The sequence below is a fragment of the Homo sapiens genome, chromosome 12, assembly GCF_000001405.40.
Source record: "Homo sapiens chromosome 12, GRCh38.p14 Primary Assembly".
Taxonomy (NCBI): Eukaryota; Metazoa; Chordata; class Mammalia; order Primates; family Hominidae; genus Homo; species Homo sapiens.
In genome coordinates, this window is record NC_000012.12 from 99,243,411 (window position 1) to 99,266,263 (window position 22,853).

General features: G+C 36.5%; 1 protein-coding gene across 22 annotated transcripts in view; it reads right to left on the bottom strand.

Moving 5' to 3' along the window:
* The window catches only part of ANKS1B (ankyrin repeat and sterile alpha motif domain containing 1B), a 1,250,151-nt gene that overhangs the window by 508,625 nt on the left and 718,673 nt on the right, over positions 1–22,853 (bottom strand). For 19 of the 22 annotated variants that reach the window (XM_006719507.5, NM_152788.4, XM_006719513.5 and 16 more), the window contains 2 exons: positions 2,865–3,454; positions 932–1,004 (listed from right to left, as the gene is read on the bottom strand). In XM_006719507.5, the coding sequence (XP_006719570.1) occupies positions 932–1,004; positions 2,865–3,454 (663 nt within the window). The remainder of the gene's footprint in view (positions 1–931; positions 1,005–2,864; positions 3,455–22,853) is intronic. The other 3 variants (XM_006719514.5, XM_005269029.6, XM_017019652.3) reach the window with 1 other exon arrangement.

Here is a 22,853-nt window from a genome sequence, read left to right on the forward strand (position 1 = left end):
GCTTTTACACTGTTTGTGGGAGCATAAATTAGTTCAACCATTGTGGAAGACAGTGTGGCGATTCCTCAAGGATCTAGAACTAGAAATACCATTTGACCCAGCCATCCCATTACTGGGTATATACCTAAAGGATCATAAATCATGTTACTATGAAGACACATGCACACGTATGTTTATTGTGGCACTATTCACAATAGCAAAGACTTGGAACCAACCCAAATGTCCACCAGTGATAGACTGGATTAAGAAAATGTGGCACATATACACCATGGAATACTATGCAGCCATTAAAAGGATGAGCTCATGTCCTTTGCAGGGACATGGATGAAGCAGGAAACCATCATTCTCAGCAAACTGTCACAAGGACAGAAAACCAAACACCACATGTTCTCACTCATAAGTGAACAATGAGAACACATGGACACAGGGTGGGGAACATCACATGCAAGGGCCTCTTGCGGGGTGGGGAGCTGGGGGAGGGATAGCATTAGGAGAAATACCTAATGTAAATGACGAGTTGATGGGTGCAGCAAACCAACATGGCACATGTATACCTATGTAACAAACCTGCACATTGTGCACATGTACCCTAGCACTTAAAGTATAATAATAAAAAAAAGACTTACAACCAACAGAGAGTTTGAAATATATTTAAATTAAAAGTATTATTAAAAAATTCTAAAAAAAAAAAAGAAAAACTTCACTGGCATAGTAAAATAGCACATGGGAAAAAATCCTCTCAATTTGCTAAGTCAATATTCTTATAACTGATGTTGCTTATATGTCATTGTTGTTAGATCTGAGAGTGGAAGGAAATAATTTGTAGTTATTGTTATAATGAAAAAAATGCAATTATCTAAAGATTCCTATCATTTTCTCACTACTCCTTAAGCACATTTATTCATTATAATGTAGAGGAAGGTTGCCTTACTTGTGGTCTCACCATTCATCTCTTTAAGTTCGTTGTTGATTCCAACATCTATGGAACTCATTATTTTGTCAATCTGTAAGAAACAAAAACCATTTAAATGGATTGTTACATTCACTTTTAACATTGTATTTTAAAATAAGTTTCAAATGAAGGGAGCAAATATTTTTGATGTTATTACCACAGTGTTCCACAGTTAAGAGATGCATAGCGAAATATTTAAAGGAAAGCAAACATCTTTCGGATTGTTTTATTAAAATGTAAAGTATGTTCCCCTTTCTTAAACTTTCAAAATTAGTTTGCCTTTTCTTTGTGTTTCTTGAAATAAACTTTGTACTTGGATAGATTGGTCATTTAGGAACTGTGTATTCTTCAAACTCAGAAGGACTGTAGATAAATTCATGTGACAAAGTCTCTGCTCTCTGGCACCCTTCTTCTTCTGCCTAAGAACATGCATCCCATCTAACTGGTAAAGGAGCAGGTTTCAGGGTGTGGAGAGCACGGCCACAGGAGCAAAGTTTTCTGTTTTTTGTTTCGACAGAATCTCACTGTGTTGCCCAGGCTACAGTGCTGTGGCACCATCTCAGCTCACTGCAACCTCCGCCGCCCAGGTCCAAATGAGTCTCGTGCCTCAGCCTCCCAAGTAGCTGGGATTACAGGCATATGCCACCACACCTGGCTAATTTTTGTGTTTTTAGTAGAGATGTGATTTTGCCATGTTGGCCAGGATGTTTCTGAACTCCTGGCCTCAAGTGATCTACCTGCCTCGGCGTCCCAAAGTGCTAGGATTACAGGCATGAGCCACCATTCCCGGCCTGGAGCAAGTTCTAACCAAATGGTTTGACCAACCACAAGCTGATTACTGACATCCAATCACCAGCATCTAGTCATGAAAACAACTTAATTATAAGATCTAAGTTAAATGTTAATTAATCCTGCCTCTACAAAAGGATCTCAGATGTTATTCACTAAATTAATAAATATAAGAAATGGCTATACTTGAAAAACTAACCATCTACTAGTATGGAATTTAAAGGAAGATATGATGGTCTAAGCTATAGCAATTTATGGCTTAATGACTCTCTTGATGTTAGCAACCTGAATAAGATAGCAGGTTTCAGAAAGGACAATGGGCATTACTTAAATGTCCCAGTTTGTTCACCCTGAAACAGATGCAGAGATATTAAGTGATTTTCCCAAACAGCTCAGTTCAGAATATCACTATCAGACCATATCCATTTCTAGTTCTCCAAATACTATAATGATCTATTGTGCTTCTAAACCTAATCCAACTGGTACAGTCTTTTCAGAGACAATATGTGATGTGTTAGAATGAAATACCAAGAGAGACTGTATGAAATTAAACACTTTAAGTAGAACTGAAATTGGTGATATTTGAACCTCAAACATTTTTTTCTTTATTTCCCTGATAGCTGCAAAAGGGAAATATCAAATGATGTGTGTTTATTGTATGGTGGCTGGAGAAGAGCTAGGAAACTTTATTTACTATGAAGATTCTAAGGAGCTCTTCTGAAAATATAAGATACTTTAAAGAAGGGAGACAAACTAACAAAGAGTTTGGCAAGTAGCAAAACAACACAGAGCAAAATACTGAGCTTTTTCTCGATTTGTCAGCTGCAGTGCTTGGTAGGACGAGATGTGAATATTCTCTTGTACCTCATAGCTAGTTATTACTTCTGCTTGATATCAATTTCTATGGAAACAATAGATTAACCCACATGTGTGGAACAGTGTTTGTTTTTATACTTGCTGTGAAATTACCATGCATTACCCACAGAACCATTTCATTCCAGTTGGAGCCGTATGCTTTTTTTTTTCTTGCTTTTGAAAGAGCTAAAAAGCTGAAAATCCTTCCCCCAAACCTCCCTCAACTGCAAAGCCTTATAGGATGAACAGCAAGAAGAACAAAGCTTACTTCTTCCCATTCCGATGTGAAGGATGGTGTTCTTTCAGAATTCCCTTTAGAACTGTGTTCAGCAGTGGAAGATTCACTCCAGTTAACTCTTGATGTTTTCTCATTGGAAGGATAGGCAATGAGATCAGAATCAGATTTAGAGACACTTTTTGACAAATGCATGTCGATCAAGGCTTTAGGCAATGACCTTATTCTCCCCAGAGTACAGGCTCTCTCCACAAATCCCCCTGCGTTCATAACCCACTGGTCCCCATTCCGAGATCCACTCCTGGTTGATCTTGTGCCAACAATGGTATGGTTTTCGAGTTGGTTGCTTTTTTTGTGAAAAATTGTTCTACTGACCACTTTGGGTTTAATTTTCTTTACCAAAGGTTCTGAGTTATTTTCTATTGGAGACTGCTTGAAAGGCAAAGGACTGTTTGCCAAACTGACTTCATCTTGTCCTTTTTCACATTGTTCTCTTTTCCCATAGAGATGAAATGGATTTTCAGGGGACTCACAGGCTGGAGAGGATCCATGGAGCAGGCCTGCAAATTGCCCAGGATCATATTCTTTTGGGGGATCATTGTCATCCTGTCGGGAGAGGTCATCTGCAAAAGGAAGGAAGGGATATCAGGGTTTATAAAGGTTCTGAAAGCCACGATATAATAGCAGTGCCCTTATGAACATGTGGGCTATCCAAACATTTCATTTACTGCTACATAGCAATACCTTCACTTTATGAAATACCCCTGACCCCACAGTGCCATGTATAGAATGAATGTATGAGTGTGTGTGCGTGTGTATGCATGTGTGAATCATTCTTTCTGATATACCTTAGAGTTCATTTCAAAAGTATGAATTGTGTATTAATTGAATGACTTCATTCACTTCTCCCTTGAACCCAGGGTGTATGTTTTATAGCCAATGAACAAAATTGGGTTTTCTTAAAGTAGAACACACACATCTAAACTCTCACAGTAAATGAATCATCGTGAAGTAGAACACTAGGCAGGTAAGTCAAGGTCATATATAATGACAACCCTCTGCCCTCCTCCCAGCAAATAAATTCAAAAACCAAATTTTGAAAAAAGGTATTATTAAAAGTAATTGAAGTTTAATAATCCTGATATTACCTTAAATATAAATTTAAAATAATTCTATGCAGATTACATAATTTAGACAAAAAAAATTTGTTCAGACTTAACAAAGGCAAACAACGCAGTATCAGAAAAAGAGAGACTCCAATATAAGAAACTAATGTTTAGCTATGAACACAAAGGTAGCTTTTTCTTTCTTCTCTGAAACGGCATTAGCTATTTTCTAATTTCTTCAGATCTTTGAAGATGTAATGCAGAAAAGAAACCAATGATGAATGATAATTTTTATTCCTTTGGATTTTTTTCTAAGATAAAACACACATTTTCTCTGAGATTTAAAATACACCATGCTTTTTGCGACTTAATTTGTCTTTCAAAGACATACTGTGTAAAAACCTGGCCAAAGAATTTAGCAAAGAAAGGAAGTGTCCTTTTTTTCAGTGTTCATTTTAATTCATATCAATAGCTAAATATTGCCAAGATGAAAATTTAAATTACCTGATAAGCCCATAACTCACTGTTGCAAAGAACTAAAGTATAGTAAATGTGGTACATAATGACAACAAATCCAAAGTTGATGTGCTGATTCGTACTTTCAGTAAGTTAATTATTACCATAAACCCCAAACACTAACATTTTTATAAATTAACAAGTAACATTTAATGGGTAAGTGTTATTTACTAGGCACTGAATGAGGAATTATATCATCTCATTTGACACCCATAACAATCCTATGAAGTGATTATTAATAATAATTATGATTTTGTGATGGAACGAGATGGCCAAAATATCGAATTCTCACATTTTTAAGAAATTGGCAACCATAATAAATCTTATTAGACATTGGCTCAGAAGATGCTACAGGCACATCTGCTCTTTATAGTGAAGATTGGCCCCAGGTGTCTATACTGCTCTCCGCCTGGGAACTGGTGAAAGCAGGTATATTCCTAGCTATGTATCTCTAGACTTCACCCTGGTTCCTGCTTGATTTTTCCAAAGAGAAGATGTTTGCCTGCCCAGCTATCATACCAGCATCCTGAGATTGAAGAAAGAAGAGTGACAGGAAGAGAGATCCAAGACACATGAATCTACAAATGCAACAATCTGCATCCATCTACTACTATTATACTCACTGTCTTCTCACAAAAACAAAACAGAACGATAAAACCTCATCACTTTCTAAAATAGCCACACTGTCTTGATAACTCTCTATTTTATTTTCCTTTCACAACAGAGACCATTCTAGGGGTAGAATAGTGAGTGGATAGTGGGATAAGGCAGCTTTCAATTCTCTCCAAAGACTAGAGTTTATCACTGAGTATGTGCATTTTTAAGAAGTCAAAACTAACACTTAGACAACTTAAGACACAGACATTTCCCCACCTAGTAAGCAATTAAGCTGAGATTCAAATTAAGGTCTATCAGATTCTGACATCCATTGGCCTTGCAAATATATTGCTATTAAAGATAAGCTTTAAAAAAATCTAGGGTTGGTTTATCCATAGGACAAGCAAGTAGGCTCTTTGTAAAGAGACATGCTTCTCCTGTTCATGACTGTATCTGGAATTTGGGAAAAGTGGACTAAAAGCATCAGAGCTTTTTCTTTGTTTTGTTTTGTTTTCTTCTTGGAGATAAGCTAATACTAAGAAGAAAATAAGACCTGGCATCTTGTTCCAATGCATTTTTTTTCTTAGGCTACTTGGATCTCACAGAGTGCTTTACAACATAAGCAGGTTGGTATGGGTGACAATAATGGGGATTAAGGTGGTAGGAAGGAGGAATTCTGAAATAAGGAAGTTTTAGAATTTCATTTTGAAAGTTGCTGAAGAAGGATAAAAGGTCTGAATTTGAAAGGAAAATTGAAAAGAGCTTGCCTATTGTGGGAAAAAGATTCTGTAAATCTCAGCCAAAAGAGTTTCCGACGATGTTCATTATCTAGAAAAATGAGAATTTTAGGGGCGTAATATTATTTAAAGTTTTCTGCAAATATTATTATTAGGTTACCATCCCCTCTGTAGTTTGACTACAATGACTATAATTACCACCCCACAATGCTTTACACTGTCCAAGTCCTCCAATCACAAGCAGTCACTTCTCAAAGTAAAAGATAATTTCATTGTTAGCTTATAAAGCTTAGTTTTTTGAATAGCAGTTCTTAGCATTGTGATGGTAACATTTCTGCCAAGAGTGGTGAAAAGACAAATATTACTTGCTTTTTCCAGTGGCCAAATCCTAAAGATTATTCAAGTCAAAGAAAAGGAGAAGTTGATATGAAGCCTCCTGGAAAGCCTGTGTGGTGGATTGATTGCAGTTATGGCCCCAGTCTGCTCACAGCTCCCTGCAGACACAGCCCTCCCCGTATCTAGTCCTCTCACGCTGACTCCCTCACAGCGTGGCCATGTGCCTTGTACCGCTCAATCAGACTGCAGCAAATGTGATATAAGCAGAGACCTCTGAAAAGCATGTGTGCATTAGACTTGTTCCCTTGTTGCTCTTGGAACCCTGACACCATGTGAACAAGCCAGGCTGGCCTGCTGGATGATGAGGTGACACATTACCCAGCTGTTTCAAAATGTAGGTTTTATTATATTTTTCAGGTATGTTGAAACCAACAGATCAGGAGACAATTGCCATTGAAAGATAGACGCTCTACTCATTGATCCGAGAGGCATGCCACATTATAGGGGCCACACAGGGAACTACCAGGGTCCATCAGGAGGAGGCTGACAAAGTGAGGGGAGATTGTGGGCAAGAGCCTTTACTATGGTTTCCATGAAAAGAAACACACAAAGCAGGTATAAGCAGGTTTAGGAATGGCTAGTTTGAATAGTTTCAGCAGACTCTGGGGCATAAGAACTGTACCTAGTTGTCTGGTCATTAGAGCAGGTGAATGAATAGTGGCCTAGAGAGTGAGAGCCAGATGAAGGAGGTAATTGGGACTATGGGCTCTACGATTGTTAGTTTGCATAAGAAAAGCATGCTCTCTGGTGAGCTGTTTACTATCTCTAGGAATTAGCTAGCCCCAGGAGGGGCCGTCCCTCCACAGCAAGAGCTCAAGAGACCAAAGCATAAAAATAAAAATACACAAATAAAATAGAAAATAAAAAGACATGGTTAATACATCCGCCAGTCCTGTCACCCCAACCAAAAGCCAGCCAACTTCCACCTATGTGAGTGAGGGCATCTAGGACCTACCAAATTCAGGCCATTCTGCCAATACCACCGATGCATCAGCAAGCACAGCTAAGAGGAGCTGAGGTTTTCCCAGGCCAGAAGAAGACACCCACCAGGATCATGAGCAATATTAATGGCCATTAAGTTTGGGAGGGTTTGATATATGAAAATATAAACTATATCCCAAGTTTTAAAGAATTAATATATTCTTCAAAATAAATTCTGGCAATGTTTATATTTCCACATCTGGAAAATGATGATAGTAATAGAACATACCTAAAAGTGCTGTGAAGATTGAATGAAATCATAGAATAATAAATGTGTTAGTCCATTTGGGCTGATATAACAAAATTTCATAAACCAGGTAGCTTACAAACAACAGATATTTATTTCTCACAGGCCTAGAGGCTGAGTAGTCCAAGATCAAGACACCTGCAGATTTGGTGTCAGGAGAGGGTTAATTTTCTGGTTCATAGAGGGCACCATCTTGCCTGGGTCCTCACATGGTGGAGGGAGCAAAGGAGCTCTCTGGAGTCTCTCTTATAAGGTCTCTGTCCTCATGACTTAATCACCTACCAAAAGGCCCACCTCCTATTACCATCACTTTGGGGGCTGGGATTTCAACATATGAATTTTGGTAGAACACAAATATTTGGACCATGGCAAGAAGTAAAACAGTTAGAACAATATATGCTGCATAGAACACTAAGAATATGTTTCTACTATTATAACAATAATTTTTAATCTATAGGGTTTCATTTTTATAAAGAAATACAGTAATAACTGTATTAGACACTCAATAAAGATTATTTTGACATAATAATCATGTGGGATTTACTCCTTTGTTTCTGTTTGTATATTTTAAAAAGTATACTTTGGAAAGAATTTTTTGTGTTTTCTTACCCTTTCTTCAGACAAAACGGAGGAAAATATACAGATTAAACTGTTGTCATAACTTGTCTCATTTAATTTTACACTTCTCTTTTGATAAGTGGATATTTCATGCCAAGGTACAGAACTAAATATGTGTGAATTCCAATCTGATAGTTATTCAAGGCATCATTAGCATTTCAAAGAAATGTCAGAGTAAATGTCCAATAGGAAGCAGTTCAATCTCTTTTTATCCACCTTTGCTATGATTTTTATCACCTATATATCACCTGATTAACAATAAAATCCAAAATTTCATGCTATGGAAAAATTATAGAAAACAAGTTACTTTTTTCTATTATAGAGTATAACTTTTGTCTATTGGGTCATTGCATCTGATTTAGAAAATAAAAATTTTTCCTATTTTTAAGGATACCGGGGCTGATGTTGATATTAGTAGAAACTGTGAATTTATTTCACAAATATGTATAAAACGTTTCCTGTATATCAGGTGGCAAAGTTTCAGCAGTGTCAAAGGCAATGTCCTGCCTTCATGGTGCCTACATTCCAGCAGAAAAGATGACTACAGGCAAATCAAGAAATGCTATAATTTCTGATGATGGTATGTGCTGTGAAAAAAATAAAGCAAAGTAATGAGATAGAAACGAAAGGAAGATGCTATAAGGCAATTAGGAAATGTCTTTCTCAGGAGCTGACATTGAGCAGACATAGAAATGACTGTGAAAGTGTAAATCATTCAATGTTTTGGGGGAGGATTATTTCAAGGCATAGGAAAGAAGATATGAAAAGTCCCTAAGGCTGGTAAGAACAGTAAGAAGGCCAGTGTGGCTATAATAGAGTGGTAGGGGATTAGTAGAATGGCTGACGATTGAATCAGAGATGCAGGTAGGAATAGGGTTGGGGTGATATGACTTATACTTTTAGAAGATAATTGGTATTTCTGAACATGACAACAGCATAGTGTTCTTTTTAAATTATTCACCTCAATTCTCATAAAAACAAGACACGGGGATAGTAAAAGAATAAAATGAGCACATGATAGCAAAATAAAGGAAAAACACTACAGGTGATATCTCCAGTAAAGCTAAGTATTAAGAAGTCCCCATGGCCCCGAAACACAGAGGGGTGTAGCCAAATCACATGACAGCAGTAGGATCCGGAACTGAATCAGCAGTGATGCAGCTATAGTGGTGAAGAGAAAGGGAAATTCAATGGCACCTACAAGCCATGGAACCCAGAAATTGCCATCAGATACTGATTTCCCAAAGGAGAGGGTCTTGTGCTAAGCAGGAGTGTGCAGTAAAATTTGAGAACAACTAGCAGAACTTGTACACATCTTGTAACAAGACCACAGGAAGTAGCTTACTCCCTTGAGAATATCAGAAATCTCCAATAAATGCATACTTGTAGTAGGCTACAGATCCACTCTGAAGAAAAACTTCTGGGAGAAGAATACAAATTGCACAGGGTGAAAACACCAAAGATGTGAGGGAGAAAAACATTTCATATAATGGGGCAGTAGGGGCCAGGTGCAGTGGCTCACACCTGTAACCCCAACAGTTTGGGAGGCCAAGGCGAGAGGATCACTTAAGCCCAGGAGTTTGAGACCAGCCTGGGCAACATAGCAAGACCTCATCTGTACAAAAAGTGTTTAAAAGAAATTTAAGCATGATAATGAGTGCCTGTGAGTTCCAGCTACTCAGGAGACTGAGATGGGAGGATTGCTTGAGCCCAGGAGTTCAAGTCTGCGGTGAGCTTTGATCATGCCACTGCACTTAGTCTGGGCAACAGAGTGAGACCTTCTCTAGAAAAAAAAAAAAGGCAGTGGGGGTGGCATCAGGCAGATGTCCAGTAGAGGGAGACTTTGAATGTAATAGAATAGCAAAGCACAGTGTTCAGATGTGAGAGCACCACTTTGGAAGGCAGGCGCATGGAACTCAAGAACACTGAGGTAGTAGCAGGAAGCCTTCCTGAATCAAGCAGAGAAAAACCTGTATTTCTTAATACTTCATCGTAACTGCAAAGGAGAAGGCCCTTGAGATGTGAAGGGCTCATGGCTACTGTGGCTCATCCCTGCTCCCATACAGGAATCTCTTCCTAATCCATGACATCCCTTCTCATTAAACGTGGGAAACAAAAAAGGATTTAGATAGAGGGCAATTTTAGGAATAAAATAAATAATGACAGTAATGGATTATAACCCACTGAATAAAACAGAAAGACACGAGCCCATAAATAAACAAATGATTTAAAAGTTTGACTAGGAATGGGAATCCTAAATAATTTCAAATTGCCTCCCCACAAAATACTTATTAATTAGAAAGAGGAAAAAGAGACACGCTACAGTGAAGAAATCTGGGAGGCCCTATCTTAATCAAATGATCAAAGTGAACAATATCAGTAATGGAACAAATCAAAATCATATCCAGTGTGGTAAAGATGCAATGAGAAAAATGCAGAATCACTTTTGGATTTTCCTGCCAAAGATGTACAACCTAAATCTAATTATATAGGAATATCAGAAATATCAGAGAAATCCAATTTGTGGGCCATTCTACAAAATAATTGGCCTGTAATCTTCAGAAGTGTCAAGGTCATGAAAGTCAAAGAAAGTCAAATGAACCCTTCCAGGCTGAAGAAAACTAAGGAGACATTACAACTAAATGCAACGTGTGATCCTGAACTAGATCCTTTGATCATAAACAATATTATTGGGTAAACCAGCACATCTTGAAGGAGGTCTGAGGAATAGATGCTAGTGATGTATTAACTTTCTGATTTGGTTGCACGGTGGTTCTGTGGTTGTGTAAGAATGTACTTGCCTGTAGAACATATACACTAAATTAGTAGTTATCAAAGTGTAGTCCAGGGATGCTTGGGGTCTCCAAGATTATTTCAGAAGTTTCATGAAGTCAAAACAATTTTCAGACTAACACTAAGACATTATTTGCCCATTTCACTTTCATTATCTCATGAGTGTACAGTAGAGTTGTTCAGAGGCTACATGATGTGTCTTTTCACAGTGGAAATATGTGATGCCTCTTTCTATCTCAGCTGTAGGAACTGGCACGCTATTACTTCTTGACAGAAGAAAGTCATATGTCTAAACCTAAAGTAAATGGAGTGAGGATGTAAATGGCCACCTATGCTACTGCACTGCAATGTACCATGGCAGAAGAGAGAGTAAAGAACTGAGAACAGTAATCTCATCTTAAAAATAATGTTTGCTCTAAGTTTTGGGTAGATGCCCTTTATTAAGTTAAATGTCTTATCTTCTAAGGTTGCTGAGAATTTTAATTGTGACTAGATATTGAGTTTATAAAGAATGTTTTTCTGCATCTGTTCAGTTATGTAATTTTTCTCCTTTACTCTGTTAGTGTGAATGACATTTGTACATTCTCTAATGTTAAACATTAGATATTAATGGGATACCAACAGGATAAACTCAGTGTGGTCATAATGAACTTTCTTTTTGGCATCCTGCTAGATTTGGTTTGTTAGTACTTTGGGATCTTTCCATCTATGTTCATGAAAGAAATAGGCCTTTGGTTTTACCTTTTTTATTCTGTCTAGTTTTTACATGATTACTCACCTCACAGAAATAGTTGGGGAAAATTTCCATTTCCCTAGAAGAGTTTATATAAGATTGGAACGATATGTTTCTTGAAAGCCTTTATATTTACTTTACCTTTAAAATCATCTAGACTCAACATATTCTTTGTGGAAAGATTTCAAATTATTCATTAAATTTATTTAGTATAGAACTATCTGGAGTCTCTATACCTTTTTGAAGTTTTTTAAAGTTTTAATTATCTAGAATTTGTCTAATTTTTCTCAGTATTAAAATTCACTGGTACAAAATTATTCATTCTTCTTTCTTAACTTTGAATGGTTTTTTGTATCTGTAGATTTACCCCCTTTTCTTTCCTAATAGGTTTATTTGTGCCTTTTTATCTTGATCATTTTGACTGGAAAGTGCATCCATTTTTTTAGTGTCACCAATGATTCCATTTCTGGCTTTGTGAATTAATATTACATATTTGTTTTCTATTTCATTCATTTCTGTCCTTTACTATTTTCTTTCTATGCCTTTTCTGGATTTATTCTATTATTTCTTATAAAATTTCTTAAGCTGGCATTTACCTCATTAGTCTTCAGCGTTTCTTCTTTTCTAATATATGCATTTAAAATTTCTAAGTTCCACTTTATGCTGCATTCATCACATTTGATATTTAGCATTTATATTTTTGTTTAACTTTAAAGGTTTTTAAGTTAGTATTATGGCATCTCCTTTAACTCATTTCTCATGACTTATTTAGAAACGTGTATTTAAATTCATAAATATATGGGGATATATATGGGAATCTTAATTTAACTTAATTGAATTATTTTTAGAAAATATAGTGTGTATGAATATGAGTCTTTGACATGTTGAAACTTGCTTATAGTCAAGATCACTTTTTGTGACTGTTTCATGAGAATTACATGTATTCTCCAATTGTTGAATACAAAGCTCTTTGCATTATGTCAGATTAAATTTATTAATGGAACTCTTAAACTCTTCCATTGAGTGAGGTGTGTTGAAACCTAATTTTAGCAGACTTATGTTTTTTCCTATGAAATATATGTATATTATATCTGGCCAACATGGTGAAACCCTGTCTATACTAAAAATACAAAAATCAACTGGCTGTGGTGGTGCGTGCCTATAATCCTAGCTACTCGAGAGGTTGAAGCAGGAGAATCGCTTGAACCAGGGAGTTGGAGGTTGCAGTGTGCCGAGTTCGTGTCACTGCACTCCAGCCTGGGTGACGGAGTGAAACTCCATCTCAAAAAAAAAAAAGAAAAAAAAAAGAAAAAAGTCTAAAGTTAAATAATACCTTATCCACTTCCTTCCTAAACAATTTAAAAACTTTAGAGCATTTTACATTCAATTACTTCTTCTATAATAAATATTGTTGTCAGTGTTTTAATTATTTTGTTAGCTTTACAAATCAGGTGTTATTATTTTATTCAGACCATTTTTAAATTTCAATTGGTTTACATGTTTGCCATTTTATTTACTCACAATTCGTTCCTCAGAATGGCCTGAGATCATTTTCCTTCTTAAAGTTATTCTTTAGAATTTCCTTTTATACAGGTCTCTGGTGGTCAATGCTCTAGTTTTCAACTGTGAATATCTTTCTATTTTACTCTCATTTATTTAAAATTCATAATTTTAGGTTGATAGTTATTTTCTCTCACAGTTTGAAGAAATTATTCCACTTTTTTGTGGCTTTCATCTTTCCTTGTTAATTCTGCTATAATGATACCTGTCTTTCTTGTGGGTGATCCATCCTTTCTCTCCACCTGGTTTGAAAATCTCTGTATTTTTCAATTTCACAATAATGTGTCTCACTATGGATTTCTGTTTATTTATCCTGCTTGGAATACAGTGTGCTTTCTGGACCTGTGAATCCATATTTTTATCAGTTTGGAAAAAAATCAGCCATTATCCATCAAAAAATGTCCTCTCCTACATTTTTTAAAAAAATTATTTCATCCCGGCCGGGTGCAGTGGCTCATGCCGTAATCCCAGCACTTTGGGAGGCTGAGACGGGTGGATCACGAGGTCAGGAGATCGAGACCATCCTGGCTAACACTGTGAAACCCGGTCTCTACTAAAAATACAAAAAATTAGCCTGGCATTGTGGCGGGCGCCTGTAGTCCCAGCTACTCCGGAGGCTGAGGCAGGAGAATGGCGTGAACCCGGGAGGCGGAGCTTGCAGTGAGCCGAGATGGTGCCACTGCACTCCAGCCGGGGCAACACAGCGAGACTCCGTCTCAAAAAAAAAAAAATTATTTCATCCCGAGTCTCTGATTCAAAGTTAATCTTCTGATTCCATACTTCATATCTCTTCATACCTTCCAAATTTTCTGCCTCTTTGCCCCTCTGTGATACATTTTGGGGAATTTTTTTCAAATGTATCCTTCAGTTCATCAATTTTCTCTTCTTCTGTGCATAATCTGCTATTTAGCCTATTCATTTAGGATTTTAAAAGTAATCTCAAGTATTAAATTTTTCATATCTGAAAATGCCATTTATTTTTCAAATTTTCCTACTATTATAGTCACCATTTTTTACTCATTTTAATGATAAGGCATATTATTTATTTAAATATTTTGTTTATATATAGTGGTTCTATTTCTTGTTTCCTATTTCCAGTAATAATATCTATAGTCATTGAGCGCTAAATATGTCTGTGTTATTTTTGTTGATATCTACTTATAGTGGTTTGCTTTTCAAGGTATTTAGAAATAATTTATTATTAACTTTATTACTTGATTTTAATCTATGGAAGCTTGTCAATCTCATCAGGGAAGGTTTTCTGCAGAGAGAAAACCTTGTGCTTCCCTGAGCTGTGTTGACTCAGCCTTCCAGCCTTCCAGCTGAGCCAGGGAACAGTGTCCCAAATAGCAACACTATTATTCCCATCTGCACTCAGAACAACAACAGCCCTCCTCTCTTCTATCAGATGTTTTTAGAGAGCAAGAGTGACTGGAGCAGGCAATGTCTCAAGAACATGTCTTATTCAGAATATATTTGTTCTGCTGCAGAAAGATCTCTCAGAGTACCTAGACTGACATAATACTTTGAAGCATAATATTTTTATTTAAAAATGTACATTTGTGACAATTTCACTTCAAAAAAACCACAGTTTATTAGGAATCAAAAGTTTTTAACGTGACTCTTTAAATGATTTGTACCCTACTACATAGGTAGGGTTAATAATAAATTGCCTTGCTCTGCATGTTTTTGTCTTGTAATGTATGATGTAATATATAATCAATAAATTATCCTGAGAATTGTATAAACGAAGAACAAGCTTATTTTAATTAATTATGGCCTCAAATAAAGCAAATCCTTTTAAAATAAGATCCCCCTAAAAAGTATATTTATAAAGAACACAAAAGAAACTAAGGGAGGTTTGGTATTTTGAAAGAATTCCAAGTAGTCTATGATCTTCATTTAAAAAAAAAAGCATGCAAAATAATCATAGAGTGTGTTTTGTACATAAATCCTGGATCAACTTGATTTGACTAAAGATAGCAAGGAGCTAAACTTTAATAATATATACTGTCAACTTGTCTCAACAAGCTTTTAAAGGAGTGCTGGGTTTTAGAAATATTAGGGAGAAATATTATCCACTTGTTTTTTTTTTTTTTTTTTACTTATAATGTAAACTTATGTGATGAGCTAGTACATTCATTTTTTTCCAAATATTGAGAAAATATTTTCCAGTTCACTTTCCAGGTCACCTTCACATTGAGATAGAAGTGTGAGTCAAACAAGTAACAATGAGCCACAGAGGAAACTATGTAGAACTGACATTCCCTTAATTCCCCAATGTAAAAAAATCAATTATAGTTTCCAAACATACAAGAAATTAATTTAAGCAAACTCCAATTTTCTGGAAAGGAATTTATTTCAAAAATTACAAAGACCAAGATTCCATACTAGGTAAGGGGAACCACCAATAGATATTGTGTGCCTTCTATGTCCAAGGTCATTCTATCTCATTTAATCCTCACAAAAGTCTCTGAAGTAGGTATTATGGCATTTGCACTGATGAAGAATTAGATAGCTAGTGAACAGAGGAGCCCGTATGAGATATAAATCTGGCTAATGCAAAGCCGGCTTTTTTCCGATACATCACGACGCTTTGTGTCGGATTACCCTAGAACCTCCTATGGCATCAGTACAATGCACCATCCACTGGAGTGTCCTATCCAAGTAGCACTGGAGCTTGAAAACCACCCAGTGGGCCTCTTTCCAGGTATCAGTAGTGATCTTTGGGTATTTATTCTGATTGCACAATTAGCCCAAAGATTGCTGGTATGTTTAGATGCTGAATGGTGTTAGATAGAGCATGTAATAAAATTCCCTCTTCTAAGCAACTTAAGACCGGCAGCTGCCTTTCTGAAAAGCCACCCAGGTAAGCTCTGTTGTTTCCTGGTCTATTAGCCCTACACTCTGCCAAACTCAGCATTTACTGCGGAAGCCAGAGAATGCTGACATTCTGACAGCTCTTGGACAGCAGACCATGCTGTTTGACTCTGATTTCAAACATTTATAATCTTTTCTCTTGTTCCCTTTGCTCAATACAGGAGAGAGGCTATCAGCCAATTTCCCCACCGTTTATAGCAAATCCCAAGGCTCCCTCATTTCCAGCTGCTAAGCTGCCTGGGCAGACTGTATTACTAAATTATTGTATCTTTTTGGTAGAGTGCCTGATCTGTCTTGGCATGCGCTTTGCATTGAAAGAAGCTCCTGTTGCAAGCAAAGGAAGCCAGCGACATTCACCCTTCCCACACGTCTTTCCTCTGTTACCCTCAACCACTAACTTCTTTGTTTCCCATGTATAAGCCAAGTTCACAGGGGCAGTTTCTCAGCTATCTCTGCCTCCCTAGGGAGTTAAGGATTTCAAAGAGAGTTCTGTGCTAGGAGTATTTCCCATAGCCTAGAGCCAGATGAATAAATGGCGTCTAGTGAATAACTACATCAGAACCAAGAGGTTTTGTTTCTCTCTTACCAAAATGTATTTCTTTGTAATACCACAGTCACTGTAACCATGTATTTTCCTCATCAGAAGAGACTGTATTGGGGGAAGAGAGGAAATAGCCTCTTTAACTCAAGTCGGTTGTTTTCAAGAGTGTTGGTCCTTTGGTTTAACTTATTTTAATAACTTCCCATTTATATACTATCCCAATGGATTATGAATGTGAAAAAAGAACTATTCTGAAGAAATAAAACAAAAAAAGATCTACGATCTTTAAATAAAAAAGAAAGTGATTTTGTAATATAAAAGGGACAGAAACTATTTTTAATTACTCTAAAATGAATAACCACTCCGATTCAATTTTCAAAAGTTATACCTTGAATTTGAATTCAAAGTCACCCAAATGTCCTCAGTAAAAGCTCTGAGAATGCAGTGCATTCAAATGTATCCTGTGAGTTTTCTATTCCTGTAAGCAATGAACAGCCTAGATTTTTCTCATACGTATCTCAAGAGATACTTCATTTCAAAAGAGCAGGAGAGTTATCAAAAGTGTAATACTATTAACAAGATACACCATAGAAAATATACAGAAACGTTAAAGATAAATTATATCTAGGGAGTATGTTTTAAATCAACTTTGCTGTTGCTATGGTAAGAGATATCCAATGTAAAACAAAAATCCTCTATAAGGCTTTGGTGCTATAGCCATGGCAACAATGATGTTCAACTCTGCGAGTGTTTCCATCTGATTCAGAGAGAAGAAAAAAATATGCTTTAAATGTATGTAAAATGGCTTAGAAAATCGATCATTTATGGTTATCTTTCACATGACCCTTCAACCAATTAAAGAAGACATTGTAAAGATAGCAGCCAGAGAGCCTAAACAAAAGGCTCATAGATTTGCTTGGGTTTTTCATGATCACAGAAGCTGGAAAGATCCACTTTAGCTGAGGTGTTGGTAAATGACATATTCATTTAGCAACTATCTCACAGAAATTTTCAGGTTGGGGCCTCATGTAATTTTCCATGCATAGGAAAAAACTAAATGCAATCAAATGACAATTTCTACCTCTTTAACACAGGAAGAGAAATATTAACCTAAAGTAAGAAAATATGGAAAGTGGTGTTCTAGCTCTGCAAAAGAAAAGTCTCTTAAATGCTAGTCTCTTAAATCTACTCCAAATAGGCTTTTATTCCACCTACCTCCACCGAATAGCCCTTAACAATATCAGCAAAATCTCTACCTTCCTGAAATGAACATTCATAACTCTCATCTTACTTGACCTACCAGCTATACAATTGATACAGATTATCACCTCTTGGATGAAACACTTTCATTAACTCCCAAGGTACCACACTCTTCTGGTTTTCATCCTACCTCCTAGGCTGTTCCTTCTCATTCTCTGCTCATTCCTTCTGTTTCCAAATGTGGAAGCATTCAAGTGCTCCAGGGCTTGGCATACTGGGACCTCTTTCCTGTTTACATTTTCTGTTTACATTAATTCCTTTGCTGGCCCCAGGGTTTAACATATTACTGAAACAACTGCAACACCCAAGTTTCTGTTTTCAACCTGACTTCTCCCCCACACTCCAGACTTGTATATCCTACTGTCTTAGTTATCCTTATGCCTCCTTTTCTCTCACACCCCACAGCCAATCACACAGCGAATCCTGGTGGCTCTACCTTTAAAATATAACTGCAACCTGCCTATGCCTCACTTGTCCTTTTCTCCCTGGATTATTGTAGCAGCCTCCTAACCATCTCCTAGCTTTCATTTTTGCACCTCACAGGCAATTCTCAACATAGAAGTCAGAGTTATCTTAGTAAAACTAAGGCAAATCATGTCACTCCTCTGCTCAAAACTCTTCAATGGCACCTTGATCCACTCTGAGTAAAAGCCAGGATCCTTACAATAACCTGTGAGGCCATACGTGATCTCAGACCTGTGGATACTCTGCCCCAATTCTCTTAAATAACATAAGCTCCTACTACACTCCTTTTCCCTTAACTGACATCCAGCTATATTGCCTCTTGCTGTTACTCCAATGCATTAGGCATTCTTCTGGGTCATGACCTTTGTACTTGTTTTTTCTGCCTGGGATTTTCTTCCCTTAGGAAGTAGCCCCTCCTCCAACACCTTCTTCAAATATCTATTCCTAACGAAACCTTACTTCATAATTTTTTCAATAAGGCCTCCATGGATCACACCATTTTAAATGGCAACCACTAATTCTTATTCCCTTCCCTGCTTTATAGTTTCTCCACGACACCTATAAATATAAAAAAATATATATTTTACTTACTTATGCTATCTTAGGAGGAGAGACATTTTTGTCCCTATCATTTCATTGCTATATCCAGAAATTAGAACAAAGGCTGGAACATAGTGGATAATCAATAAACATTCTTTGACTGATGGGGTGAAATAAATATATAGATATTTGCATGTGAAGAAAAATTCAAGAGTGATATCAACATAGCTAAATGTTAACAGTGATTAACAATAAGTGACTTTAAAATAAAATAACCTTTTATTCTGTTTATAAAATAATATCTGTTCATTCTAGTTATTAGTAAAAGTAAAGAGAGAAGAAAGACACTCATAATTCCAACACCTAACAAAAGTTACTATTAACATTTTTATATTTTTTCTTTTGTTTTTTATGGACATTATTTTCCCCCAATGAAAATAAGATCACTCTGTTTATGTAATTAAAAAAAATTTAAATCTCACCTAAAAAATTGAGACATGTTTATTTTATTTGTCTAAAAATTTATTGTCTAAAAAATTGAGACATGTTTATTTGTATCATATCAATCCTTGAAATATTCAAATAACTGATACATTTGATTTTGTTTCTCTCTTTTTATAAAGTACATTTGGTCTTTTATAGTGACTAGGGGAATGTGTGTGTGTGTGTGAGTTTTTGTTAGTCATTACTTTTATGTTACCGAAATCATCTTCGGACCTGTTTTCTCTGTTTTCATCAGTAAATTTTTGTTTCTCTCTTTATAAGTTAATAGCTAATATTACTGAGTGCTTATAGGTGTTAAGTACTTCAGATGCATTATCTGATTTCATTCCCACACAATGTTCCCTCACATAATACCCCATAATACTCTGGGGTATTATGGTATTCCCATTTCGTAGGTGAGGAGTTGAATGCTTAGATGTTAAGTAACCAATCAGGGTTACAGGGTTACTAAGTAGTGGAGAAGCACATGAACAAGGTACCCATGCTCCTTACTGTTAAATCATTTGCAGTTCTAAAATGAGGGAATTAGCAGACTTGTTATCTCTGTTCCCCTGACTCCCCACTCATGCCCACGCCCCGTTTTCCAATTTATATTAAAATAGTCTGGGTTGTAAAGTGCTGATACTATATTACTGTATATTTTATACCTTCTCTTTTCAATTTCTTTTAGATTTATAGTGTTACAACAATATTGAGAACAATTAGTTGAAAACATTTTATGTCTTACAAGCTTTATTTTACATTCTAGAATCCTTTATGCTACTATTTCCCTTGCCCATTCTTGAGAATTTATTTATCACTTGATCAACTGAAGTATATCTTTGAGCAATTACTTCAAAGAGATAGGTTGTTTTCTAAATTACTGATATGGTTTGGCTCTGTGTCCCTACCCAAATCTTATCTCGAATTGTAATCCCCACTTGATTGGATCATGGGGGTGGTTTCCCCCATGCTGTTCTCATGACAGTGAGTGAGTTCTCATGAGATATGACGGTTTTATAAGTGCTTGACAGTTCCTCCTACACACACACTCACTCTCTCTTGCCTGCCGCCATGAAAGACATGCTTGCTTCCCCTTCTGTTATGGTGATTAAGTTTCCTGAGGCCTCCCTAGTCACGTGAAACGTGAGTCAACTAAACCTCTTTTCTTTATAAGTTACCCAGTCTTGGGTAGTATCTTTATATCAGTGTGAGAATGGACTAATACAATTACATATCTGAAAATGACTTACTATGGTCTTGCACACCTTGGCTGGGCATACAATTCTTGAATCTCAAGTTCAAATCCATTGCCCTAAAAATTCTATATACAATTCCCCATTGTCTTCTGTAAGTAATCTGTTTTATTACCTTAATATCTATCTAGATTCTTATATGACTTTTTCCTTATCCTTGAAATTATAAAAATTTAAAATTCCCTTCTAAAATTATTTATTTCAGAAATTTTGCTAAATTCAGTAAATCTGTAATTTATTATTCTAGGCATTCTTTAGCTCATAAACAAACAATGAGAGTTTTCTTTTATTGATGCTTTACTTCACTGCTACACTTTTCGTTCTAAAATTCCTATCATATGCATATTGGATCTCATGGATCTTTCCCCTGTGTTTTATCTTTTCTCTTGTAATTTTTATTTATACATTTCTTCTGTCTATTAAATGTCTTAATATTCTACTTTACTGACTTGGGTTTCTCATGATCCAGTGTATTTTTTGCCTTCTTTACAGTTTTGAATTTGATATGAATATTATTCAACCACATGAAGCGTTTATGATCTTACAGTTTTAACCCTTCATGACTGCTTAGTCTGGTTTCATGCAGCGTTAGTCTACTGAATATCATTGAGATCCATTTGACGTTAGCATTTTGGAAAATGCTCTTTTCTTAAGAAAAATTTTACGTCAAAGGATGCCACTGTTTTCATTCCTCAAAACGAGCCTTCTCTTTTGAGGTATCATTTAATGTCTCCAGCTCTTTCTCTATTTGCTCACTGTTGCAAAGGGTGGTCTTAGCTTGTCTCTTTTGGGGACCTGGGATGAGTTCTGTCAGGGACTTAGGAAATTCTCCTTTTCACCTTTAGGATTCAAAAGAGAGAAGAAAGGAAAAGCTTAGGTTAACTGCCAGTTCTGCCATATTGCACAACTCTAGGGTCCTTCATTCACATAGTACAAATGTGCCTCCTGCAATTGTGGCTGGTGGTGGCCATGTTCACCGCAGTTTTACTTCATTGGCCTAGTGTAGGGCTGTTCAGTAGAATTTTCTATGATGAGGGAAATGTTCTATATCTGTGCTGGCCAATATGGTAACCACTAACCACACATGATTACTGTGCACTTGACATGTAGCTGGTCCAAATCAATAATTTAATTTTAAATTCATTTAATTTTATTAACTTAAATTTTACTTTAAATAGTCACATGTAGTAGTGGCTACTGTAAAGGACAGTACAGGTCTATAGCAGTGGTTCTCATAGTGTGGACCCCAGAACAGCAGCATTAGCATCTCCTGAACACTTATTAGAAATGAAAATTCTTAGGCCTTGCTCTAGAATATCTGGGGGTGGGCCCCAGAAACCTATACTTTTACAAACTGTCCACTTGATTCTCACTAGAAATGCATATTCTTAGGCCTCACTTCAGAATACCTGGGGATGGGCCCAGCAATCTATATTTTTACAAACTCTCCACTTGATTCTTACCATTAATGCACATTCTTAGGCCCTGCTCTAGAACATCTTGGGGTGGGCCCAGCAATCTCTGTTTTAGCAGATCCTCCATGTGATTCTGATGCACATTAAGAGATGAGAACCACTGCTCTACTGATCACGAGTTAGGAGAGGATCAGAACTAACAGCAGTCACAAAAGGGACTTTTTTCTCTATTCCAGTGTTTCTTTTCTATATTTGAGGTGAGCTGCTAGGAGTTAACTGGGGCAGTGTCCTCATTCTTCGCTTCTCACAGTTGTCCTCATTAAGAACCAACTGTGACAATGTTCCCCTCAGTGTAAGTGAAGAGTAAGCAAGTCATGATCCTTGCTTTCCAGTGGGACTGGCAGGATCCAATGGTACCTCCTCACTGCCCCCATGTATTTCTTTACTTCGTGCTTTAACCTTCTAAAGTCTTCTCCAGTTACTACCATGGAGAGTTCTTCACATACGGGGAATTATATATCTTCAGTCCAGTTCAGTCTTCAATCCACTTCACTTTGCCTTCTATCTTGCAAGAACTCTTGAAATAATCAGCATGTAGATGTCACCCATTATTAACTTCCCATACTAATACAGATATTTTTCTTCCTTACTTTTATATCTGTTGGTCATTTCCAAGGTAATACAGAAAGGAGTGAACTAGAAAAATGCTTTCAGTCTTCTGCTTTTCCAAGAAATCTTCCATCTTTCTCTTAATGCCTTACCTTATATGAAATATTAAAAGTTTTTCATATAATTCTATAGTGTTTTATATGTATCATTTCATCTAATTACCAAAACATTCCAGTGACATAGGTTTTATTACTGTCATTTTCCAGACAAGGAGACTGAGGCTTACATG